Source organism: Homo sapiens, chromosome 4 (genome assembly GCF_000001405.40).
Source record: "Homo sapiens chromosome 4, GRCh38.p14 Primary Assembly".
Taxonomy (NCBI): Eukaryota; Metazoa; Chordata; class Mammalia; order Primates; family Hominidae; genus Homo; species Homo sapiens.
In genome coordinates, this window is record NC_000004.12 from 139,643,733 (window position 1) to 139,670,056 (window position 26,324).

The 26,324-nt window shown below is 45.3% G+C and overlaps 1 protein-coding gene across 8 annotated transcripts in view, besides 3 other annotated features; it reads left to right on the plus strand.

The window, feature by feature from the left end:
* Positions 7,823 to 8,117: a silencer, noted in NCBI's record as "tiled region #6908; K562 Repressive DNase unmatched - State 12:CtcfO". NCBI's record gives its function as "represses a minimal TATA promoter and a strong SV40 promoter by Sharpr-MPRA in K562 cells {active_cell/tissue: K562}" and the evidence as "EXISTENCE:reporter gene assay evidence [ECO:0000049][PMID:27701403]".
* Positions 21,646 to 22,845: an enhancer, noted in NCBI's record as "BRD4-independent group 4 enhancer chr4:140586532-140587731 (GRCh37/hg19 assembly coordinates)". NCBI's record gives its function as "activates an origin of replication core promoter dependent on BRD2, P300/CBP, MED14 and CDK7 cofactors, and independent of BRD4, by STARR-seq in HCT116 cells {active_cell/tissue: HCT116}" and the evidence as "EXISTENCE:reporter gene assay evidence [ECO:0000049][PMID:35650434]".
* The window catches only part of MGST2 (microsomal glutathione S-transferase 2), an 88,800-nt gene continuing 84,562 nt past the window's right edge, over positions 22,087 to 26,324 (plus strand). For all 8 annotated transcript variants that reach the window (XM_017008211.3, XM_047415701.1, NM_001204366.2 and 5 more), the window contains exon 1: positions 22,087 to 22,345. In XM_017008211.3, coding sequence (XP_016863700.1) covers positions 22,288 to 22,345 — 58 coding nt within the window. In that variant the 5' untranslated portion in view covers positions 22,087 to 22,287. The remainder of the gene's footprint in view (positions 22,346 to 26,324) is intronic.
* Positions 22,142 to 22,311: an enhancer, noted in NCBI's record as "active region_21928". NCBI's record gives its function as "activates an Ori minimal core promoter by ATAC-STARR-seq in GM12878 lymphoblastoid cells {active_cell/tissue: GM12878}" and the evidence as "EXISTENCE:reporter gene assay evidence [ECO:0000049][PMID:35858748]".

The window sequence follows — 26,324 nt, forward strand, 5'->3', positions numbered from 1 at the left end:
TGCTGACCATTTCCTCCTCGAAACTCTCCTCCTTCAGTTCCTCGGTGTCACACTCCTCTGGTTCTTCTCCTACTGCTCGGGCCAGCCCCTCTCTGTCTTCTTCATTGAAATCTTCTTCTGGTCAATCTTTACTTATTGAAAAATTTTTGTATAAATGTATGGGGTACAGGTGTAATTTTGTTACATGCACAGATTGCATAGTGGTGAAGTCAGAGCTTTTAGGGTATCTGTCACCCGGATAATGTACATTGTACCCAGTAAGTAATTTTTCATCCTCCACCCCCTTCCCATCCCCCACCCATCCAAGTCTCCATTGTCTATCATTTCACTCTCTATGTCTGTGTGTACACATTATTAACTCCCCCTTACAAGTGAGAACATGCAGTATTTGTCTTTGTGTGTCTGACTTGTGTCACTTAATGTAATGGCCTCCAGTTCCATCCATGTGGCTGCAAAAGACATGATTTCATTCTTTTTATGGCTGAGTGGCATCCTAAAGTGTATGTATAGCACATTTTCTTTATCCAATCATCTGTTGATGGACACTTAGGTTGATTCCATATCTTTGCTATCGTGAATAGTGCTGGGATAAATATATGGGTACAGGTATCTTTTTGATATAATAATTTCTTTTCCTTTGGGTACATATCCAGTAGTGGAATTGCTGGATAGAATGCTAGTTCTATTTTTAGTTCTTTGAGAAATCTCCATTCAATCTTTTTTGTTTGTTTGTTTGTTTTTGAGACAGGGTCTCGCTCTGTCGCCCAGGCTGGAGTGCAATGGCGCGATCTTGGCTCACCGCAACCTCTGCCTCCTGGGTTCAAGTGATTCTCATGCCTCAGCCTCCTGTGTACCTGGGATTACAGGCAAGCACCACCATGCCTGGCTAATTTTTGTATTTTTAGGGGTTTCACCATGTTGGCCAGGCTGGTTTTGAACTTATGACCTCAGATGAGGTCTCGCTTGCCTTGGCCTCCCAAAGTGCTAGGATTACAGGCGTGAGCCACTGCGACTGGTCTTCCATTCAATCTTTACATATGATACATTGCATACAATTCACTCATTTAAAGTATACAATTCCATTGTTTTTGGTGTACTGCATTATTAAGTTATTACATATTTATTATATTATTAATTTTTGAAAATTATGGTAAAATGTATATACCATAAAACCTATCATTAAGCATTTTTACATGTGCAGTTCAGTAGCATTAAGTACATTCACATGTTGTGCAGTCATCATCACTATTTGCAAAACTTTTTCATCACCCCAAACAGAAACTCTATAACCATTAAGCAATAGCTCCCCATTCTCCACTCTCTCCAGCTCCTGGTAAACTTTAATCTTCTTTCTGTCCCCATGAATTTGCCTATTGTAGGTACCTCCTATAAGTGGAATCATACAATATTTGTGCTTTCATGACTGGGTTATTTCACTTAGCATAATGTTTTCCGGTTCATCTGTGTTGTAGCATGTGTCAGAATTTCATTCCTTTTTATGGCTGAATGATATTTCACCGTATGCATATAACACATTTTGTTTTTCCATTCATCATTTTTTTTTTTTTTTTGGAGATGGAGTCTCGTTGTCACCCAGGCTGGAGTGCAGTGGCACGATCTCGGCTCACTGAAACCTCAGCCTCCTAGGTTCAAGCGATTCTTGTGCCTCAGCCTCCTGAGTAGCTGGGACTACAGGTGAGTGCCGCTACACCCAGCTAATTTTTGTTTTTGTTTTTTGTAGAGATGGGGTTTCGTCATGTTGGCCAGGCTGGTCTTGAGCTCCTGACCTCAGGTGATCTGCTCGCCTCGGCCTCCCAAAGAGCTGAGATTACAGGCATGGGCCACCGCGCCCGGCCTGTTTTACCATTTGTCTCTTGATGGAGACAGATTGTTTCCACCTTTAGGCTTTTGTGAATCATGCAGTTATGAATGTTGGCATACAAGTATCTGAGTTCCTGCTTTCAATCCCTTTGTGTACCCACCTAGGAGTGGCATCACTGACTCATATCATAATTCTGTGCTTAGCTTTTTCAGGAACAACCAAACTGTTCTTCATAGCAGCTGCACCATTTGTTTATTCCTATCAGCAATGTATGATGGTTCCAATTTCTCCAACACCTATTTTCCATTTTTAATACCATAGCTATCCCAGCAAGTGTAAAATGGCATCTCATTGTGGCTTTGATTTGTATTTCCCTAATGACTAGTCATGTTGAGCATCTTTTCATGTTGCCATGTCTGAATGTTCGTGTCCCCCACTCCCCAAATTTTTATGTTGAAACCTAATTGCCAATGTGACAGTATTAAGAAGCTGGGCCTTTAGGAAGCAATTAGTCTTCTATGAACCAGAAGACAGCCTTCACCACACATCAAATCTGCCAGCACCTTGATCTGGGACTTCCCAGCCTCCAGAACTTGAGAAGCAAATTTTCGTTTTTAAGAAACTGCTTAGTCTATGATATTTTGTTGTAGGAGCCTGAATAGACCAAGACGGCCATTTGCGTATCTTTGGAGAAATGTCTATTTACATTCTTTGCCCATTTTTGAATTGAGATGTTCGCTTTTATATTGTTGAGTTTTAAGTGTTCATTATATAATCTGGGTTTTTTGTTTTTTTGTTTTTTTGTTTTTTTTTTTAGGCAGGGTGAAGCTGGAGTGCAGCGGTGCTGTCATGGCTCACCACAGCCTCAAGCGATCCTCCTACCTTAGCATCCCAAGTAGCTGGGACTACAAGCATGCGCTACGACGTTCAGCTATGTTTTGTACTTTTTGTAGAAATGGGATTTTACCATGTTGCCCAGGCTGGTCTTGAACTTCTGGACTCAAGTGATCCTCCCGCCTTGGCCTCCCAAAGTGCTGGGGTTACAGGCATGAGCCACCACCGCACCTGGCCATATTCTGGATATTATTCTCTTATCAGACACACAATTTGCAAATATTTCCTCCCATCCTATGGGCTGAGCCATTATGTTTTGTTGCCTCTCATAGTTCCAACCTCTGCTCTCTCTTCTCACTCACACTTCCTGGGATATTTCATCGTCATAGGTGGTTTAAATGCTTATATGTTGATGATGCCTGCATCTCTTCTGCCAATTCTGATGTTTCCTCAAGCTCTAGACCACCCATATATTCAGAGGCCTATTGACATTCCCACTTGACTGAAAAACATGGCATACTGAAGACAATTCTCATCTTCTCATTCCAAATCGACTCCCTTCTAACATTCTCCACCTCTGGCACCACCATCCCAGCCACTCTAGAAAAAAGTATGAAATCATATCTAAATCCCTCTCTCTCCCACACACACTAAACCCCTCCCAGATATTTGGTAAATGCATCCTCTCCTTTTCATGCTCGTTGCCACTGGCCTTATGTGATCTCACTAGGACGACTGCAGTAGCCACCATCCTTCCTCCCCCAGGCTGTTCTCATATGTCCACCTGACTAGGCCACAAGCCTGCTTCAAATCATATAAAGACTTTCAGAAGAATGTTCAAACTCTTTGCATGAGCTTACCTGAGGCTCTTTTAGATGATCTGTCTCCTACCCCTCTCAACTCATCCTACATTCTTCCTTCACACACACTTCTGCTTCCACCTTACCAAAATGCTTGCAGTTCCGGAGATACACTGTCTTGCATCACTCTGCTTTTGTTCCATGCCTTGTGCACTTTCTGGGTGGAGCTTTCTCTGTTCCACCCTTTCTTGTGTGGTGAACTCTTACTCATCCTTCAAATACCCTTGTCCATGGGTCACCTCCACTGTAAAGCCCACTCTGACCTTTCCATGAAGAACTAACTCTTTCCTCTTTTGGCTGGTTTTGTACCCTACACCAACTTTTATTATTGCACATGCCTTACTGTATTAAATTTAATTAGATGGCCGGGTGCAGTGGCTCACACCTGTAATCCCAGCACTTTGGGAGGCCGAGACGGGCAGATCACCAGAGGTCAGGAGTTCGAGACCAGCCTGGTCAACATGGGGAAACCTTGTTTCTATCAAAAATACAAAAATTAGCCAGGCATGGTGGCACACGCCTGTAATCCCAGGTACTCGGGAGGCTGAGGCAGGAAAATTGCTTGAATCTGGGAGGCGGAGGTTGCAGTGAGCTAAGATCACACCATTGTACTCCAGCCTGGGCAACAGAGCAAGACTTGGTCTCAAATAAATACATAAATACATAAATTTAATTAGATCCCTGTCTCCTCCAGCAGACTATTACCTTTGTATTTCCAGCACCTAGCATGGGGCCTGATGTGATGTAGTGCTTCATTACTGGCAATACTTTGGAGATATTGTGGGTTTGGTTCCAGATGATCTCAATAAAGCAAATAACATAAAAAGTGAGTGGGTTGAATCACAAAAATTTGTTGGTTTTCTAGTACATATAAAAGTAACTATACTGTAGTCTATTGTGTGCAATAGTATTGCACTGGAGAAACAATGTACATACCTTAATTAAAAAATACCTTATTGCTGAAAAATGCTGACACAGAGACCCAAAGTGAGCATGCACTGTTGGATAAATGACACAGATAGACTTGCTCAACACAGGGTTGCCACAAACCAATACAATATTTGCAAAGTGCAATGAGGCTAAGCACAATAAAACGAGGTATTCCTGAGTATAAATTTTGAACTGTTTAATCAAAACCTCATGGAGTAGGCCGGGTATGGTGGCTCATGCCTGTAATCCCAGCACTTTGGGAGGCCGAAACAGGCAGATCGCCGGAGGTCAGGAGTTCGAGACGAGCTTGGCCAACATGGTGAAACCCCATCTCTACTAAAAATACAAAAATTAGCCAGGCATGGTGGCACGCGCCTGTAATCCAAGCTACTCGGGAGGGTGAGGCAGGAGAATCACTTGAACCCAGGAGGCAAAGGTTTCAGTGAGTTGAGATCATGCCACTGCACTCCAGCCTGGGTAACATAGCAAGACTCCATCTCAAAAAAAAAAAAAAAAAGAAACGAAAACAAACAAACAACAACCCAGAAAAAACCCTCATGGAGTAGAACTTCTAAACAGGTCAAATTCCCACCACTAAGGAGAGCATTCAGGGAAGTGCCCCCTGCTACTTGTCTCTCCCTGTCCCCAAAGGAGCACAACTCTTTTTTTTTTTTTTGAGATGGAGTCTCGCTCTGCCAGGCTGGAGTGCAGTGGCGCCATCTCAGCTCACTGCAACCTCCTCCTCCTCCCTCATTCAAGAGATTCTCCTGCCTCAGCCTCCTGAGTAGCTGGGACTACAGGTGCATGCCACCACACCAGGCTAATTTTTTTGTATTTTTAGCAGAGGCGGGGTTTCACCATGTTAGCCAGGATGGTCTCGATCTCCTGACCTTATGATCCGCCCGCCTCGGCCTCCCAAAGTGCTGGGATTACAGGCGTGAGCCACCACGCCTGGCCAAAAGAGAGCAACTCTTAACTGTAGGAGGCTGGACTCACAATTATTGCCTGCACTCAGTTGTGGCTGCATTTCAGCTTCATGTAACTTTAACTTTATTCAAGTACAAAAATCATATGTCTTAAATAAGGCAAGCTGCCCCATTGAGTGGGTTGAGAATTACTTAGGTCAGCAGACAGTGCTAGTTTGCCATCTAAGGGGATAGCAGAGTGGTTTTTGGGAATAGCAGGTGTTGGAGGTCCACAGGTATCAAAGTGATCTTATGATCACCGCCCAGCTTCGAGAAAACCCTGATCCCAGACCCCAGGCCTTATTGGCCTCATCAAGCAGAAGCTGCTTTATTTATTTCACTTCGCACACACACTCTCTCTCTCTCTCTCTCTCTATATATATGTATATATATAATTTTCCCTCTGGGAGGGGACAAATTCTTTGGGATTTCTTTTCTTTTAGAGACAGGATCTGGCTCTGTTACCCTTGCAAAGTGCAGTGGTGCAATCACAGCTCACTGCAGCCTCCAACTTCTGGGCTCAAGTGATCCTCCTGCCTCATCCTCCCGCCTCATCCTCCCAAGTAGCGGGACTGCAGTTGTCTGCCACCACATCTGGCTAGTTACAAAAATTTTATTTTATTTTTTTGTAAAACGTGGACTGTCTACGTTGGCCAGGCTGGTCACAAACTCCTGGCCTCAAGTGATCCTCATTCTTTGGGGTTTCTTAATTTTATATGACTTTCTTCTAAACAAGGCACCATGTAGCCTGGCCTGGGACACTTCTGGGTTGAACAGACCCTCTGCTTTAAACTTTCAACCTGAAGACAACTCTGCTACCTCTACAGTCACCCAGGTTATATCAGGTAGATCTAGGACGCCTTCTCAGCACCATCTTCCAGGTTAGAAAAATCTCAGAGAATGAGGGAGTTCTATGAACTCCAGGAATGGTCTGCTTTGGAGGACATCCAAAGGAGAGTGAACAGAGAAAGGACAGCTTTTCACAAAGAAGTGGACACTGGTGATGTTCTGGTCATCAATAGAGACCTCCAAACCAGATCTATCCAGGTAACTATGTGAGGCTCCTGGGAGGGAAGATTAATCTTAAAATTACTTGGATCATTTCAGCCATATTTACCCTTAGTGTCACACAATTGATGAGCTTCATTTGTTAGTGAGCATATTGTAACCTAGGACTTCTCCTGTGACCTCTAGGGGTCAAACATCTTTATTAAGCACAAAGTTGCACCCACTACTCAGAATTAAAATAAAATAAAATAAGTGATTCGGTCCTGTTATGGACTGAGTTGTATCCTCCCACTTCCAAAGTCATATGTTGAAGCCCTAGCTCCCAGTACCTCAGAATATGACTGTATTTGGAGACAGGCCACGTGATAGGCCGGGTGATAGGCTGGGTGCAGTGACTTATGCCTGAAATCCCAGCAATTTGGGAGGCTGAGGTGGGAGGATTGCTCTAGGCCAAGAGTTCGAGGTCAGCCTGGGCAACATAGGGAGACCCCTGTCTCTAGAAAAAATTTAAAAATTAGGTGGGCGTGGTGGCACACACCTGTAGTCCCAGCAACTCCGGAGGCTGAGGTGAGAGGATCACTTGAGCCCGGGAGGTTGAGTCTGCAGTGAGCCATGTTCACGCCACTGCACTCCAGCCTGGGCAACAGAGTGATGCCCTGTCTTTAAAGTAAAAAAAAAAGGTGGTGGGGTTGTGGTGATGAAGTTAAAATAAGGCTGTTAGGATGGGCTCTAATGCAATCTGACTGGTGTCCGAAAAGGAGATTAGGACACACAGAGAGACACCAGGGTGCACATAGAAAAGACCCTGTGAGGACACAGTGAGAAGGCAGCTATCTGCAAGCCCAGGAGAGAGGTATCGGAAGAAACAAAACCTATCCACACCTTGATCTTGGACTTACAGCTTCCAGAACTGTGAGAAAATAGATCTCTGAGAAAATAGAAGGCTTCATTTTCCTAAATAGCACTCTTTTTTGACGTTCTCCCTGCAGCTGGTCTCCCTCAAGCTGGTTTAAGCCACATAGTGTGTGGTACTTTATTATGGCAGCCACATCAGGCTAAGACAGGGCCCTTAGATTAGCACTTGTGTGTTGTGTGCATGTTCATGTGTATGTGTATGTTATGATATGTGCATGTTATGGTGTTATGAGATGTGTGTGTGTTATGATATGTGTGTGTTGTGCATGTCTGTGTTATGGTGTGTGTGTGTGTGTGTGTGTGCGTGTTGGGTAAGCAGGCAGGAAGGGATATGTCTGGGAAATGCCCCTCCAGTTGCTACAGGGAACTGCAGGTCTTGATTCTCCCTACCACCCATCTTGCCTGCTCCTCTCTGTCTTCAGGACACACTATTCTCTGATGTGGGTGGAACTAGTGCCCTTGTGTCAGAGATGGAGAGAAAATAGAATCAGAGATGTGGGTTAGCAGTAGGATGGGGAAGGAAGAAAGAAGCGAATTCATTTATAGTCTGCCGAGAGCCATCCAAGGATCCCGGTGGGAGACGGGGCAGGCAGAAGGCTTCATTTTCCTAAATAGAACTCTGTTTTGACATTCTCCCTGCAGCTGGCCTCCCCCACGCCTGTCTCGCCAAGTGAACTGATAAAAAGCAACAGGATTTTAGCCTTCCACTGCGCCATCTGGTGGCGTTCAGGGAGAGGTACAGTGGTTCTTGTGCATACACAGTCTATCCCAAACTTAACGCCTTCCTTTCTTTAAGAGGAGTGGATACAATGACTCCTGGGAAGAAAGCAATAGTGCAAAGAGCACTGGACTGGAGTCAAAAGTGGACTCTATCTCTGCATCTTATTAGCTGTACGATCTTGGGCAAGTTAAGTAATAACCTCTTTGCGACTCAGTTTCTATATGTAAGAAATATGAATCACTAATACCAACAGGATTTTGTGAGAATTCATTGAGAAAAAAGCACCCAGAACAGTACAGTATCAGGGATGTGGTGCCTTTGTTAATGATTCACGCCACTTTCCCTTCTTTCTCTCTTCTTGTATTTCTTTCTCTTCCCATGATTTTGTGACTGATCAAAAGTTTTTAGTGCCTTTTATGAAATTAGCTGGGGGAGGGCTGTTGGGAGAACCTGAGAGTTGGGAGGGCAGGAGGGTGCAGGTCATGGGAGCCTCAGCTGGGACTGGGAGACCACCAGGCCCTGCCCCTCATTTGGTCATTTGCAGGAATCAGAGCTAGTGTCACAGGCCTGCCCCTGACTTCTTGCTGCAGAAGGGATCTCACCTACCTATGACCAGAAACAAGAGGTGGTGAGCTCCCCATCACTTTAGGCATTCAGACCTAGATGATTTACATTATCAATTTTAAGACAGGCTTCAGGTCTGGGAATATTATGAGTTTATGAACTAAAGCAACGTTTACAAGAATGTAAGTCAAAGGCACCAATTATCTAAATAACACCTGATAGACTAACATGATGCACATGTAGAACATTTACAATTTTGGTTAAAGATGAGAGGGAGAAGAATGAGGAGAGTTACACATTGAGAAAGGGTTCTAACATATTAGAAAATAAAAAAATATTTTCCCCTCCCAGTTTTTTGTTTTGTTTTGTTTTGTTTTTTAAGACAGAATCTTGGTCTGTCGCCCATGCTGGAGTGCAGTGGTACACTGTCAACTCACTGCAACCTCCGCCTCCTGGGTTCAAGCGATTCTCCTGCCTCAGCCTCCTGAGTAGCTGAGACTACAGGTGCCTGCCACCACGCCCAGCTAATTTTTTTATTTTTAGTACGGACGGGGTTTCACCATATTGGCCAGGCTGGTCTTGAACTCCTGACCTTGTGATCTACATGCCTTGGTCTCCCAAAGTGCTGGGATTACAGGCGTGAGCCACTGCGCCTGCACTTCTCCTCCCAGTTTTTAAAAAATATATATCTGATGGGCCAAGAGAGATCTTGCCACTGCACTCCAGTCTGGGCAATGGAGCAAGACCCTGTCTCAAATAATAAATAAATAAATAAATAAATAAATAAATAAATAAATAAATAAATCTGATGATATCTCTCCTGCCAGCGTTGTGGGGCATGCTTGTTTGTATATGGCAGCTCTTGTGGAAGCCACGCTTTTTCCTGGGGTCGCTTCTGTCTTCTTTAACACCCTGTTCTGGAAATACGTAATTCAGCTGGTCAAGAGTCCCAGCCTGACACCTGCAAAATATTTCTCACACAGGAAACAAGAATCAGGGACAGACCCTTAAGCCTTCTTGGGGCCCTGTGGTCTCAAGATCAATGACCTTGACCATCTTTGGTGACCTGGGCTCCCACTTCTTGTCATTTCTAATGGACTCACAGGCACTTCAAACCTAGCCCCCTCCTTTGGTCTAAATTCTGTGGCAGTAAATTGCCCCATCATTAATGTATCTAGCTGTTCAGAAACCAGAAATGTGGAAATCCTTAACTCCTCTTTTCTCTCCCTCTTTGCTTTATCAGGCACGTCCAGTGCAGCGCCCAATTTTCTGGAGCTCATCCTGTCTCCTGAATTTTCAATCATGCACTCTACCTTGGCTCTGCTGTGGCCAGCTGACTTCCGGTGGGGCCTCTGCAATCCTGCCACCTAAGGGCCACCAGCCATACTCCTGGTGTCCCTGGCTCCTGTCTGAAGTGCCACACTTGCAGGGCATGGGGTGGTATCACTGGAGCCAAATGATGAACCCTGGGAAGCTGAGTTGTTACCTTGCAATGAGGTTGTTCTGGTGACTACTCAGGTGTGACAAAGTACCCCAAAGTTTAGGGGTTTATAACAACCATTTAATTAGGCTCTAATGAGTTATGTGGGTCAGTAGGGCACGGTAGGACTGGCATGTCTCTGCTCTTCAATGTCTGAGGCCTCAGCTGAGGAGACAATGGCTGGGAGTGCCCCCACAGCTGTGGGCTAGAATCATATGAACGTATATCCATGCAGGTGGGGCTGCGTGCTGGGGCCATAGCTGGAGCTGTCACCCAGAGCCCTTACACGTGGGCTCACATGGTGCCCTTCGGGTAGCTGATTTCTCTCATGGCAGCCGAGGGCTCCAAGCATGAGGGCCCCGGTGAATAAAGCAGAAGCTGCCCAGCATCACTCCTGCTGCGTGTCCCCACCTCAAGACGGGAGAAATGGCAAAGAATTTGCAGTTCTGTTTAAAAACTGCCATGGGGGAAACTGCCCCAATGGGAGATGAGGTGTAGAAGACAAAGTCCTGAGAACACATGGACACATGGAGGGAACACACATACCAGGTCCTTTCTGAGGGTGGAGGGTGGGAGGAGGGAGAGGATCAGGAAAAATAACAAATGGGTACTAGGCTTAATACCTGGATAATGAAATAATCTGCACAACCAACCCCGTGACACACGTTTATGTATGTAACAAACCTGCATATGTACTCCCGAACTTAAAATAAAAGTTAAAAAATATATATAATAAAAGAAAATAAGTTCCCTCTCCTTTCCTCCCTTCAGTGGATTGTGCTGAGGTGCAGTTTCTCCACTCAGCCTGTCCAGAGATTCCCCGAGGGCTGGCTGGGGTGCCTGTGCAGTGACTGGCTACATCTCATCACAGGGCATCTGAAGCAGCACCCCACGTGGACATGCTCTGCTTCTGGCCAATCTGCCATACTTGGCTCTCCCATCACTTTTGCTGCCCTGATACTGCACCCGCCAAATAAAGCCTCAGCATTCCAGCCTTGTCTAGAAAGCATGGGCTAAGGGACCCTCTACAACCCATCTGCCCTGAAATGCAATTGATTTGTTCTTTTAAATCTCTTTCTCCATCCACACTGACATTTCCCTAGGCCAGGCCAACATCTTCTCTTGCCTAGACCATAATATGCTTTCCTAACAGATCCATTCGTATCTACACGAGTGATACTGCCCCATCAGTCCACACTGGTGTCAGAGTGATCTTTTTGAAACAAATCTCATCACAAAACCTTCCAGCTTAAAACCCATGACAGGCTTCACATCCTCCTTGTAAACAGGGTCTCTCAACCTCAGCACTACTGACATTGTGAGCGGGGCAACTCTTTGCTGTGCTGTGGGGGCTGCCCTGTGCAACATAAGATATTTAGCAGCATCTCTGGACTCTACCCACTAGGTGCCAGTAGCACCTCACTCCCCAGCTGTAATAAGTAAAATGTCTACAGGCATCACCCAATGTCCCCTGAGGACAAAATCATCCCAGGTTGAGAACAGCCGGTATGAAGTAAGCATACTTAACATGACCCTATGTGGGCCAACCCTGGCACAGCAGACACTACTCTCTTCCAGGTCTCTAAGCAACAGCCACACCGGACTTCATTCAGGATTCTTTGACCATGCCATAGCCTTTCCCTCTACAAGCCTTTTCCTGTTCTTTCTCAGCCTGGAATATTCCCCTTTCTCCTTCCAGTCCACCCTCTGACACACACACACCTGTGCACCATTCATCTAGCTAACACTTTAGGATCAGTCCTCAGCCAAAATGTCACTTTTGCGAAGGCTCTTCTTGCCTCCCAGACTAGGTTAGGCCCCCTGACATACATTCGTATGGCAGTTGGGACCTCTCACAGCACTCCCCACATTGATCATGAATTAATTCGCTTTGGTTATGGCTTGTTAATGTACATCCTCCTCACTCTGCTGTAAATACTGTAAGAGCAGGGCTGTTGTCTGTCTTGCTTATTCCTGGGTCTCAGCACTTAGTATGGAGCTTGGCATGTGGTAGGTACTCAATGCATTTGATGAATGAATGAATAAATGAACTTATGCACATTCTTTTTTTTTTTCTTTTTTTTTTGAGAAGGATTCTTGCACCGTCTCCCAGGCTGGAGTGCAGTGGGGCGATCTCGGCTTACTGCAACCTCTGCCTCCCAGATTCAAGTGATTCTCCTGCCTCAGCCTCCCGAGTAGCTGGGACTACAGGAGCATGCCATCACACCTGGCTATTTTTTTGTATTTTTAGTGGAAATGGGGTTTCACCATGTTGGCCAGGCTGGTCTTGAACTCCTGACCTCAAGTGATCCGCCCGCCTCGCCCTCCCAAAATCCTGAGATTACAGGCATAAGCCACCACGCCCGGCCTTATGTGCATTGCTATTTTCTGGTTTGTTCCTTTCTTTCTTTCTTTTTTCTTTTCTTTTTTTTTTGAGATGGCAGCTCAGGCTGGAGTGCAGTGGTGCAGTCATAGCTCACTGCAGCCTAGAACTCCTGGACTCAAGCGATCCTCCTGCCTCAGCTTCCTGAGTTGCTGGGATTACAGGCGTGAGCCACTGCACCTGGCCCCCTTTCCTTGCTTTAGATTTTTCTCTTTCATTGCAAAGCAGTACCCTCATTCCAGTATGAATAAAAACCCAGTTCTCGGATGTTTTACCAACCAAACTGTCTGCCTGATCTTGAGAAACTCTTCAGACACTGCCCAGCTCTCTGACCCACTCCTTTCCAAATAATTTTTGCAAAGTTTTTGTTTTTTTTTTTAACCAAGCCACTTTAAAAGCTAGGGGTACATCAAGGGATCAAATCAAAGTCCAAGGTGTGGTATCCAATTCCTCGGAATATTGATCAAAAAACGGGCATCCCCTTGGCTAGGGATTTCCCCACCACCAGGTGGAAACCTTGTGTCTTTTCTCACCCCTCCTCTATCCCCTCGCAGTTTGCCACAGGGATGCCAAACGTAAAGTGTCCTTTTCTGACCCTTCTCCATGGAATGTACGTCTCTGGGGCAGCGTCTGTGTTTGGCTTCCGTCTAGCTCTGAGTGGATCAGGACTAACGGTTAAATCCTGGTATTTTTACATTTGAGCACCTGTGGGTTTTGAGCAATTGACTGTTACAGGTCGCTTGCTGGAAATGGTCAATGTGTTCATACCTGAAAAACTGAATTTTTATAGGACATTATTTAGAGATGATTTTGACAGTTTGTGTTAACTGACTTGTTCCATTTTCACTGATGTGCATCTGTAGGGACTTCTGGAAACCTGGAGGAGTAAGCTATCACAGGGACCTCAGAGGGTGGCTTGCCTGGAAGCTGAGCTGCCTCTGGTGGTGTTATCCCGGCAGGTCTGGCAGCCCTGGATTGACTCCCCCTAGCGGTTTCACAAAATATGTTATTTTGATAGAGCACCTTAAACTGCAGCTCCTAGCTCTAAATGTGTGGCTGTTAGAATCCTTCTACTACAAATTAGGGATGAAATTAGATGACCAGCCAGTGGGACCTCTGAGAAGAGAATGAAAAATAGGCTCATGCAGGAGAGGGCGTGGAAGGGCGGATAAGCTGTTTTGTCTGGAATTCCTGTCCCAGACAGGTTTGTCTGGGAATGGCCAGAAACTGAAATTCTGAGGATATCATCCTGCCCAAGTCCCAGAAGCAAAGGTGAGAACCAGGCACACCCTAAGGGCAAGCAGGAGGGAAGAAGAAAAGAAAGAAGAACGAGGGAAGAACAAGAAGAAAGAAAGAAGAAGGAGGAAGAGGAGGAGGAGAAGGGAGGGGGAGGAAGGGGAGGAGAAGGAGGGGAGGGAGAGGCGGAGAAAGGAAAGGAAGAAGTGGAAGAGGAAGAAGAAAGAAAGAAAGAAAGAAAGAAAGAAAGAAAGAAAGAAAGAAAGAAAGAAAGAAAGAAAGAAAAGAGAAGCAGGCAAGCAGTTTTCAAAGTTCTTTATCATCTTGCTAAGGTAGCTGAAGGATGCAGTCACAGGCCCGCATGCACAGGAGGGCTTTCCTGTTTGGGGCCAGTAGGTTTCTTGTTTTGCTGTGTTTCCTTTCTTTTTGTGCAGGACGTGACTTGGCCTCCGATCTAGACACATCGGTGTTTTTGTGAGTCATGTTCTAACAGGATTGTGCTGTGTTGAAATGACTGTTGTTTGGTGTGTCAGCCCAGATGCAGGTTTAGCACCACATTTCAAAGTGAATAAGAGCTGCTTTTAACTGTTTGTTCTTAATCCACCAACCTTTTGTGTTTTCTCATCAAAAGAGGGGTAGCTTGCCCTTTTTCTTTTGCCTTAAGCCCCAGAGAGACACCAAGTGAAGCCACGGTACCCCTTTTTTTCTTTAAGTAGCCCAATCACATAATATGCTGTAGGTTTCAAGAGAGTAAACTCTCCTCTGGTGCATAGAAATCTCAGTAAGTTCTCTGAGGCAGTAGTTGGTAGTCCTGGAGATTTTTCAGTTAAATCAGTGTTTATTTCAAAAACGCCCTTGGTGATTCTAATGTGAGAATCACCAGTCTCCATGCACTTCAAAGCCAGTGGGCGGGGAAGTACTGGGCCCAATCAGCTGAGACTCGGCTCCAGCCACACTTACCTTTGCTGGTGCCTCAGAGCCTGTTGCCCCATCTCAGCCTCAGATTTCCCTCCCATGTCTGTCTGTCCTTCTCTCTTCCACCCAGGCATACTGTAAACTCCTCCAGTGGAAACCAGCATTTCTCCTGGGCTGCACCCGTGAGGCCTACAGGTCCCATCTATTCCCAGCCTCACCTCTTCCCTTCTGCCACTGCAGAACCTTCCACACCCCTTTCTCCTCTATCCTGGCACCACTGATGCTCACTTTGGGCACCTACCAGATTATTCACCCCCTCAACAGCCCTGCCCCATCTTCCCTCTTTTGGATGCAGTCAAATGGAGTGATTTGTCAAGCTCTTGAAGCTTTCTAGGTCTCAGTTTCAGTTTCCTTATCTATAAAATGGGAATAATTTACAGGCTCCTGGGAGTTTTGTGCAAGTTACATGAGACCATGTGTGCTTTGCTGGCGTGTCATAATGGATCCTGGATGAGGCCCAGACATCTGTGTGTTTCTGTCACCTCCAGTGTGGTAGCAGTGGTATGGGCTATGCTGAGAAACATTGGTTAAGACAGTGGTTCTCCACCTGGCTGTGCATTAGGATTACCTGGGAAGCTTTAAAACGTTCAGGTGCCTAGGCTGAACCTGAGCTAATTAAATCTGAAGTTCTGTAATTTTTAATGACCCCTCCTCACATGATTCCAATGTGCAGCCAAAGTTAAGAGTAAAGGCTCTGGGGCAGCAGGACTGGGTTGTACTGACTCTGGGCCAGTCACTAACCTCTCAGCCTCAGTTTCTCCATCTGAAGAATGGGAATAATATATGCACTTTACTGTTTGACTATGCAGATTAGTTGAGATAATTCTGTCCAGTGGTTGGCATAGGGCCTAGTACAGTGCCTTCTGTTGACTGGATTTGGGAGCTGGCAGGGTGGGCATGAGAGGCCCCCATCAGAGTGAGGCCTTCTCAGCAGCCCTGGGCTCATCCAGAACACCTCAGGCCTCTGGGCTCCAGGCTGTCCCGTCTCTTGCTGCTCTATCCCAGCAAGTTCAACAGTCGAGCTCTGAGCATGGCCTACAGGAGCCAGGGCACGTTCACGCCAGTGACCCTGTTTTAAAGTATCTAATACAAAGTACTATTCAGTTTAAAAAGTTTGTAATGATTCCATGAAAAAGGCAAACCAATAGTATTAGTTGTTTTTGTTGTTGCTTAATTGCCAATATGCAGTATGTTACCTAATTTATGGGTTCAAATTTGATTTAAAACACAAAAGCAAAAAAAAAAAAAAAAGAATAGAAAGTTTTGTTTCATGTGTGGTAACCTGGAAACATGGCCACCATTTATATTATTATTATTATTTTTTGAGACGGAGTCTGGCTCTGTCGTCCAGGCTGCAGTGCAGTGGCACGATCACAGTTCACTGCAACCTCCGCCTCCTGGGTTCAAGTGATTCTCCTGCCTCAGCCTCCTGAGTAGAGTAGCTGGGACTACAGGCACGTGACACCATGCCTGGCTAATTTTTCTATTTTTAGTAGAGACAGGGTTTCACCATGTTGGCCAGGCTGGTCCTGAACTCCTGACCTCAAGTGATCCGCCCACCTCGGCTTCCCAAAGAGTTGGGATTAGAGGCGTGAGCCACCGCTCCTGGCCATAATATTATTTTTGTGAAAATATGTGTTCTGAGGTCTAAACATTCAGCTTACAAATTTCCTTTTGGAACGTAAGTTTTTGTAGAGTATGTAAGTGTATGAGTGTGTGTTTTGAATGTGTGATGGGAGTACATGAATGTGAATGTGTGAGTGCACAAGTGTGTGTGCGTGTGTGTGGGTGTTTATGAGTGTGGGTGTGTGTGCGTAGGAATGTGTATGAATCTGGATGTGTGTGTGTGTGACTTTGTGTGTGTGGGGAGGGCTGCATGTGCTGAGAGCTGTCAAGAATGGGGACTTCTATTTCTCCTCACCAATCTCTAGATCCTGCTTTATTTTATCCTCTCCTAAGCCTTATGCAAACTTAAGACAACTCAGGTTGAGACCCTCTATTACTGTCAAAAGCCATTTTGAAGCAATTCAAATGTTCTGTTTCTATTCTTCTGGGAAATCTGTGCTGTCTCAGAAATTCTAATGGCATTCTAAAATCATCTGTTGCTTTGTAATATGGCCTTTTCAACAAATAGGCCTAGTCTCTTCTGCTTTCGCCCAGGGTTGGAGGGCATCAGGATGGCAGAGAGAATGGGCAGGGTGGTGACACCTGTGGACAGCCAGCATCATGCCGGGTTCTGTGCTATTTGCTTCCTTCACATGACTTCCTTTATTCATCAGAGGAACCCTGCAAGGTCAGTATTATTATTTCCCTTTGAAAACACATGTCCAGGAAGTTTAGCAACTTTCCACCGTGACACAGAGATAGGAGCTTAAACCTTGTACTCTTTTTTTCTACACTACATTGGTAACTGATCTTTATTTTCCTTGCCTTTCTTCTCTTTTTCTGTCTTTATCTTTGAGCCTTGATATGTCATTACTGGTGCTGGGTAGTGGGCAGTTTCTGCTGGAAGGTAGCTGGCATTCAACTGTAACCCTTTGCCCTGTCTGGTCCAGGGCAAAGTCTCCTCAATGGGAATAAAATGCCTTTGCCTTCTTTAGCTCATTTCTTCACACTCAGGGCTACAAAGCAAAATGCTGCAGTTTCTGAAATGGGAGAAAATATTCCGTAGGATGACTAAAATTTCCTAAATTTTTGCAACATGTAGCAAAATGGAGCATAATTTCAAATTGTGTTTATCTGAGCTTTGCTTAAAAACTTACTGTGTTAAAGCCACTATTAAACCCAGCTACTCAGGAGACTGAGGTGGGAGGGTTGCTTGAACCCTGGAAGTTGAGGCTGCAGTGAGCCATGATCATGTCACTGCACTCCAGCCAGGGTGATAGAGTAAGACCCTGTCTCAAAACAAAACAAAACACAGAAAAACTGCTGTGTAGTTACAAGATTCTTCAACTAGTCAGGACTTCTAGCAAGATAATGTAATGAACTCTGGGTACATGGAGAGTTATGTGGTCATTGATAATCATGATCACTCTGATAGTTCCTGGGAAAGAGGTGTATTTTCTGTCTCTTTCTGCTACCTGGCCTGATGGCAGTGAGGACAGCCCTGCTGTAGTGCTCAGCAGAAACCTGGATGATGTGCTGTCAATTTTGGAAGGGTAGCAAGTGAACAGAGAGGGTGAGACCAGGGAATAATTTGCGGGGGTTGCAATTGGTTTGAGGAAAAACCTTTTTTTTTTTTTTTTTTTTTTTTTGAGATGGAGACAGAGCTTGGCAGAGCAAGCTCTGTCACCCAGGCTGGAGTGTTGTAGCGCATTCTCGGCTCACTGCAACTTCCACCTCTTGGGTTCAAGTGATTCTCATGTCTCAGCCTCCCCAGTAGCTGGGATTACAGATGTGCACCATCATGCCTGGCTAATTTTTGTATTTTTAGTAGAGATGGGGTTTCACCATGTTGGCTAGGCTGGTCTTGAACTCCTGACCTCAGGTGATCCACCCACCTTGGCCTCCCAAAGTTCTGGGATTACAAGTGTGAGCCACCATGCCCGGCTGAGGAAAAACATTTCTATAGTTTAATATATCATTTCTTTTCATCTATTACCAAAATTATACTGAAAGAGTTACATTTAGAGTTCACATTTCATGAAAGCAGTTCTTTTACATGGTTCAGGTTTGTTTTTATGTGATCAAATCTTGGCCTCTCTGTTTCACCTTACCTAGAGTATAGTTTTGGTAACAGTGATTCAGTAGTAACCAAAGTCCTCAGAAAGTCTTTTAGGTTTCTTTTGAGTTTACATAGATAATAAAAATATTTTAAAAACATTTTACTATCATTACTGTCTTATTCCATTTTGTTGCTATAACAGAATACCACACACTGGGTAATTTATAAAGAAAAGAAATTTATTTCTCACAGTTCTGGAGGTTAGGAGGTTTAATATCAAGGTGCTGGCATCTGGTAAGGACCTTTGTGCTATGTCATCCCAAAGCGGGGGGGCAAGAGAGGGCCAAGCTCACATTTATAACAATCCACTCCTATAACAACATTAATCCATTCATGGGAGCAGAGCTCTCATGGCCTAATCACCCCTTATTGTCCTACCTCTTAATACCATTATAATGGAAGTTAAATTTTAACATGAGTTTTGGAGGGGACAAACATTCAGACCATAGCAATTACCAGTATGCTGTTTGTCCTCTTATTTTCCTTTTCATAGAAAAATGTAATAAATGGAACATACTAGAAGGATCTATGGGAACAACATTCAGGGAAAATGCCATTCCTCTTCAACCAATCCAGGGAAAACGTACAGAGAAACTCTAATTTTTGTGAGTTTTTGTTAATGCTATGGCAGTATTTCAGCTGTGGGTCACCTGGAAATTTTATCACTGCAGAAGGTGATAAACATTTCATTATACAATGCTCTATTCTTTTATACTTTCCTAGAGGCAATAACTACATATACCGACAATGAAGATCTTTTTAAATAGACACGTGGGGTTTTGAAGCACTTGAGATTTTATTGATTAATTGATTTTTTATTTTTTTACTTTGTGTCAACCATCTCTTAGAATCTGGATTTGGGGGACTGACTTAAGATTGGCTGGGAGAAGTCAGTAGGGAACCTCAGGATTTGTCCAGAAGCTGGGAAGTTTCATTTTTTTTTTTTTTTTGAGACGAAGTCTCGCTCTGTCACCCAGGCTGGAGTGCAGTGGCACGATCTCAGCTCACTGCAAGCTCCGCTTTCGAGGTTCACGCCATTCTCCTGCCTCAGCCTCCCGAGTAGCTGGGACTACAGGCGCCCGCCAACACGCCCGGCTAATTTTTTTGTATTTTTAGTAGAGACGGGGTTTCACCGTGTTAGCCAGGATGGTCTGGAACTCCCAACCTCGGGTGATTCGCCCACCTCGGCCTCCCAAAGTGTGGGATTACAGGCGTGAGCCACCACGCCCGGCCGGAAGTTGTAGATTTTAAACCAGTTGACTAGTACAGGTGTACCCAAGAGTTTCTCAAAATAAGAGTTACCAACACCCAAAAGTTACAGTCATCAGCCAGGGCCACAATTCTCTGCTCAGCTCCTCCTGCTGTTGTTCCTCTCTTCCCGAGCCGTTCTCTGACTTTGAGAGCCTCTGCCTGTCCCCAGGCCTAATGTAGACCTCTCCTTCGAGATCTGTCATTTGGGAGGTTATTATAGTAGATGGTGATATGGGTTCAGGGCAGCTAGTTTGCAGTTTAGAATCTCTGCCATGTACTGAAGCCCAAAACTATTAAACTGAGTATACAAGAATGTTTTGGTGCTGCCCCAGCTTCTTGGCTCTACTTTCTTATCTAATCTTAGTTGTCAATGATTTCAAGAGCAAACAGCCAAGGAAGCCTGAAGACCAACAGAAACTTTGAGCAGACCTGGCTTGCAACTATTTATAAATTAATTTTGTTATTCCTTCTTTCCTGTATATGTGTAGTTCCATGAATTCTACTTTGAACTGGTTATAACATCTTACTGGTTCCCTCATGAATGAGTTACATAAAAATTTTGATATGTTTTCATTTTATGTTGTATGAAAGGCATGATTTTTGCCTCTGAAAGTATTTTTTAACATTAGGTACATTATATGCTAAGTACTTGTCTAGATACTTTATGTGTTTATTTTGCAGACACACAGAACACATTTGTATATGCCAGGTGCTGTTTTAAGTGCTCTATAAGTATTAACTAATTCAATCCTTAGAATAGGATTATGTCATTTAAACTTCTCTTCAGCTCTTATTAGCCCTATCTTATTAAATGGAGGCTCAGAGAGGCCCAAGGTTGTGTTATTAAATTGTAGGGTCTGTGTGAGGCTGAGGCAACTGCCCTCCCCAGAAGACACTGGGAGCTCCCTGCTAGGGACTAAATGTTTGTGTCCCCTCTGCAATTCATATGTTGAGACCCTAACCCCCAACGTGATGTTATCAGGCATTTGGCAGATAATTAGCTACAGGTGAGGTTATGAGCATAGGCCCCCATAATGGGATCTGTGCCCTTATAAGAAGTGACCAGGAAGCTTACTCTTTCTCTGTCTCCAACATGAAGGTGTCCTTCTGCAAACCAGGAAGAGGGCCCTCACCAGGAACTGATTGGCCAGCACTGTCATCTTGGACTTCCCAGCCTTCAGGACTGTGACGAATAAATTGCTATTGTAAGCCACCCAGTCTATGGTATCTTTGTTATAGCAGCTTGAGCCAAGATATACCCTCTAATGGTGCTGTAGGATGGGGTGAGGAAAGGCCCCCAGCTCTGGTTTTTGGGAAGCTGCATCTTTATTTTTATTATTTGTTTGAGACAGGGTCTCACTTTGTCACCCAGGCTGAAGTGCAGTGGAACGACCTTGGCTCACTGCAGTCTCAGGCTCCTGGGTTCAAGCAATCCCCTTGCCTCAGCCCCCTAAGTAGCTGGGACTACAGGCACGTGCCACCATGCCCTGCTAATTTTTGTATTTCTTTAAGAGATGGGGTTTTGCCATGTTACCCAGGCTGGTCTCGAACTCCTGAGCTCAAACCATCTGCCCATTTCAGCCTCCCAAACTGTTGGGATTACAGGCATGAGCCATCCTTCCAGGCCAGAATCTGCATCTCTAAAGAGCAGATTCTCCTGCCTCAGCCTCCTGCGTAGCTGGGACTACAGGTTCGTGCCACCATGCCCAGCTGATTTTTTGTATTTTTAGTAGAGAAGGGGTTTTACTGTGTTAGCCAGGATAGTCTTGATCTCCTGACCTCGTGATTCACCCTCCTTGGCCTCTTAAAGTGCTGGGATTACAAGTGTGAGCCATCGCGCCCGGCCGGTTTATTTTTTTAAAAATGGCTGGGCACAGTGACTTGTGGCTGTAGTTCTAGCTACTTGGGAGGCTGAGGCAGGAGGATTACTTAAGCCCAAGAGTTGGAGGCTGCAGTGAGCTATGATCGTGCCACCACACACTCCAGCCTGGGTGACAGATCAAGACCCTGTCTTAAAAAAAAAAAGTATGATTATTATCAGAGTCTCTAGGTGACAGTGAGAGGCAGCCTGGTGCAGGGGATAGGGCACAGTTGTAATCTGCTAGACTGGGTTCAAATCCTAAATCGGCCATTCAGAGCGTGAATACATTAGAACTGGCTTAAATTAGCATTTAAAATGTCAACAGGATTAAGTAAGTAGTTCCTTCTCACTTTTTCCACAGGAGGTGAGAAAGGTCTCAGCAAGGCCCTAGGAGGGAAGGGCGTGGGGATGAAAGGGATCCAGAGAGTCTGTGCATTGGCAGAGAAGATAGTGTAACTGGCACTGCGGCTGGAGGGCTGGTCCCACAGTGAGCTACAGCCCTGCCCGCTGGCCGTGGGAGAGGCTTAAAACAAACGCCGGAAGCAACTCCCAGCCCCATAAAGATCTGTGACCGGCAGCCCCAGACCTGCCTGCCTTCCTGACTTCTGTTCCAGAGCAAAGGTCATTCAGCCGCTTGAATCAGCCTTTTCCCCCCACCCGGTCCCCAACTTTGTTTACCCGATAAGGAAGGTCAGCATTCAAAGTCAAGAAGCGCCATTTATCTTCCCGTGCGCTCTACAAATAGTTCCGTGAGAAAGATGGCCGGGAACTCGATCCTGCTGGCTGCTGTCTCTATTCTCTCGGCCTGTCAGCAAAGTAAGAGGCATGGGAAGTTCGTGTGTGTGCGCGTGTGTGCGTGTGTGTGTGTGTGTGACAAGGCTTGCGGGAGAGAGAGGGAGGGAGGGAGATGGGTCCGGTGTTTTGTTTCCTACTTGCCCTTGCAGGTAGCTCTGGGTCCTCAGAGCACAGTCGCCTCAGGGTCACCCATGCCGCCTGCTACCCTCCTTCCCAGGGGCAAGCAGAGACTGAGAACATTCCAGAGATTAGTTCTCCCAACTGGAACGCTGTGGGGCCTCAGAGCTCAGCGATTCTGCATCATCTGTGATTACGACCCACAGCCCGTTCAAACGAGCGTTAGTAGCCTGCTAACCTGCAGGAAGTGGTGTGAATATTAATTACAAGTGTTCCAAAGGAAACGTGCCTGCTTCTAAACCTGGTTGTGATTTCTTGAACGTTGATGTTTTAATTAATGTGTTTTCTTAAATAAACTGCCTATGGTGGTATGATTATCAGATTGAAAAAAACTTCCTTCAGAAATATTAGCTTTAGATTAAGTAATTAGCTCTAAATTTTAAAACAGCTTCCCACTAGGATTATTCAATATCTCGACTGCCTGGTTAAATAGAGGGCTTTTACTCCATGGGAGTCACATTTGCTCAATTCATATTATCTTACCTACAATGTCAGCTGGGGAAAGGGGTCCGAGTGCAAGAGTGCAAGACTTCTTACCAAGCATGCATATTTCTTTATATTTCCAAGTATGCCTGTACCAGGAAATAGGGCCAAGCCGTAGACTGCTCAGGTTACACAAACAGCCAGAAGCAGGAAGGCCTCACAGCTGAGGATCCAGTCCAGGCCTCCGTGCATGCTCAATGTCTTGCCTAGCCAGTCTGTTTTGAGATTGTATGAAGATCTTGAACCTTCAGACTCACGTTTTGTGGTTTGATTCACACAATCTGTTGTGGAGAAGAGCAGGATATTTGTTTCTAATTAAAGAAGCACTTAGATCTGTTAAAAGGAAAACCCTAGACAAATTACATTTAACTGAGTTTAATTGAGCAAAGAACGATTCACAGTTGGGCATGGGGAACCGGAATAGGTTCAGAGAGACTCTGGGGCTGCCACGTGGTAGAAGAAGATTTATGGACAGAAAAAGGAAAGCGACTCCCAGAAAACGGAAGCATATAGTTCACGATGTACGGAGAAACCTTTAGGCTGAACTTAAAATATGTCAGAAGGCAGCTTTAGGCTAAACCTAATTTAGCAGGTCTAAGGCTCACTGTTGGTAGCATCCTGACTCACAGGTGCTACCAAACCTGCATGCGCCTTTATCCTAGGCCTGCAGGTCCACAGATGTCCCAAAGCTGACAGAGGTGCTCATCCTCCCTGTTTGCTGCTTGTGCAGGGGGCTGTGTGAACTGGGGCCAGAATGTTAGGGGGCTGGATGGAGTGGGGGTAGGGGTGGGGAGAGAGGAGAGGAGACTGGGTGAATGATGATTAATGGTGGACAGGGAATGTTTAATGACAAGGTGTTAGGGCCGGGCACGGTGGCTCACCCCTGTAATCCGAGTACTTTGGGAGGCCAAGGCAGGTGGATCACGAGGTCAAGAGATCGAGACCATCCTGGCCAACATGGTGAAACTCCGTCTCTACTTAAAATACACAAATTTGCTGGACATGGTGGCACGCTCCTGTAGTCCCAGCTACTAGGGAGGCTGAGGCAGGAGAATCGCTTGAACCTGGGAGGGGGAGGTTGCAGTGGACTGAGATCACAGCACTACACTCCAGCCTGGCAACAGAGCGAGACTCCATCTCAAAGAAAAAAAAAAGATGTTGATGAAGAGTTGAACTTTGTAAAATAATTGAAAAGCTGTATTCTGAGCCAAACATGAGGGACGAGTGGCCGGTGACACAGCCCAAGGAGATTCTAAGAACATCTGCCCAAAGGGGTCTGGCTACAGATTGGTTTTATACATTTTAGGGAGACATAAGACATCAACCAATTCATGTAAGATGTACATTAGTTTGGTCCCAAAAGGCGGGACAACTGGAAGTGGGGCATGGGCTTCCAGGTCATAGGTGGATTTAAAGATTTTCTGATTGGCAATTGATTAAAAGAGTTTATCTACAGACCTCAAATCCATAGAAGGGAGTGCCTGGGTTAAGATAAGGGGTTGTGGAGGCCAAGGTTCTTACTATGCAAATGAAGCTTCCAGGTAGCAGCGTTTGGAGAGAATAGATTGTAAATGTTTCTTATGAGACTTGAAAAGGTGCCAGACTCTGTTAATTCTCTCCTGGATCAGAGAAAAGACCTGGCAAGGGAAAGGGATTTTCTACAGAATGTAGACTTTCCCCACAAGAGACAACTTTGCAGGACCATTTCAAAATATGACAAAGAAATATATTTTAGGGTAAAATACTTCAATTTCTTTCAAGGCCTGCTATCTGTCATGTGATGCTATACTGGAGTCAGGCTGGAATTTGGTGTCTTATTTCTACAAAAAGTCTTAAGTGTTAGATTTTTTAAAGGGAAGGTGGGGTTCAAGAAAGACACAGAGAGAGAGAGAGAGAGAGGAGGGGGAGGGGGTAGAGGGGGAGAGGGAGAGAGAGAGAGGCTTTACAACAACACAGGTTTATTACAAAAACCTGTGGAGGTGGGGGACCAGCTTAATGCCAGAGCCCGCCATTGCTTACAGGCTGGGGTATGTACAGGTATGGGCAGGAGGGTTTTGGGCAGTATGGCTTGCTGCCCTGGAGGATATTGATAAGATGTTCTTATGTTCAGGTGGTTTGGCCAGGGATATTCCTTGGGCTCTGTCAGGATTTGATAGGGATATTTCTTCAGTTGGGTCTTTGCTTGGCAGGGTATGATAAAGATGTTCCTGTGTCTTGTGGTCAGGTGGCTAGGCAGGATTTCTCAGGGCCCGAACCCCCATGGAATGTTTCACTTTGACAAAGGCCTGTGAAATGGCAGGGGGCTTACAAAATGGTGTAGTTTGGACTAACATTAAGGTCTGTTTCAATGTTAATGCTGGTCAGTTATGCCTGAATTCCAAAGGGCGGAGGATATAATGAGGCACATCTGACACCTTTTCCCCATCATGGCCTGAACTCGTTTTTTAGGTTAACTTTGGAATGCCCTTGGCTGAGAGGAGGACTCCATTTAGATGGTTGGGGGGCTTAGAATTTTATTTTTGGTTTACAAAGGAGAGAGAGAGTGTGTAAGAGGGAGACAGAGAGAGGAAGACACAACTGTTTAGCTGGCATTAGGAACCAGAATTTGCTCCTTTTGCAAGTCTGATGTTCATGGAGTCGGGACACCATGTGCCATGGTTGAAGCAGCTTAGGTTTTGAAGACAGACAGAGCTGTATCTGTTGGTCTAGCCACTTCCCAGCTGGGTGTCCCCGTTCAGGATACACTGCCCTTCAATGTTACCATCAAAGAGGGTTTAATGGGACGCTGGGGAGGAAATCCCACCATAGTTCCTGGCCCCATGTAGGCGCTCAGCACTGTCAGTTCCCATCCTAAGGTCCTTCTTCGAAGAGAGAAGTTTCTGCTGCATGGAGAGGTAGAGACAGGGTGAAGGTACCCAGCTGTGGCTGGGTGGGCATCACAGGGGGTAAGGGGCAGAGAAAGCTTCCCCTTCACCCTCTGAAGGTTCACTGAACGTCAACTGACAAAAGGCAGATTAACAGGAGAAAGGCTGTGACAATTTATTTTAATATGCACAGCATGAGAGAATGGTTGCCCAATAATCCAAAGGGGTACAGCAGTTTGTATACCATTCTTCACAGGGGAGGGAGGAAATGGGGAATGCAGACAATTCTTTTGAGTGGTAGTAAACAATTATTAGGGAGAATGAATGGACTGGGAGACAAAGTAACTTGTCAATGATTCTCTGGAATTTGATTGGCCAGAGGGGTAGGCTTAATCTGGTGGGAAAGTTCGTCCAGGTGTGTGCATTCCTCGGTCTTCTTTTCCACATGAGATAATGAGGTCTGAGGGAGGAGACGG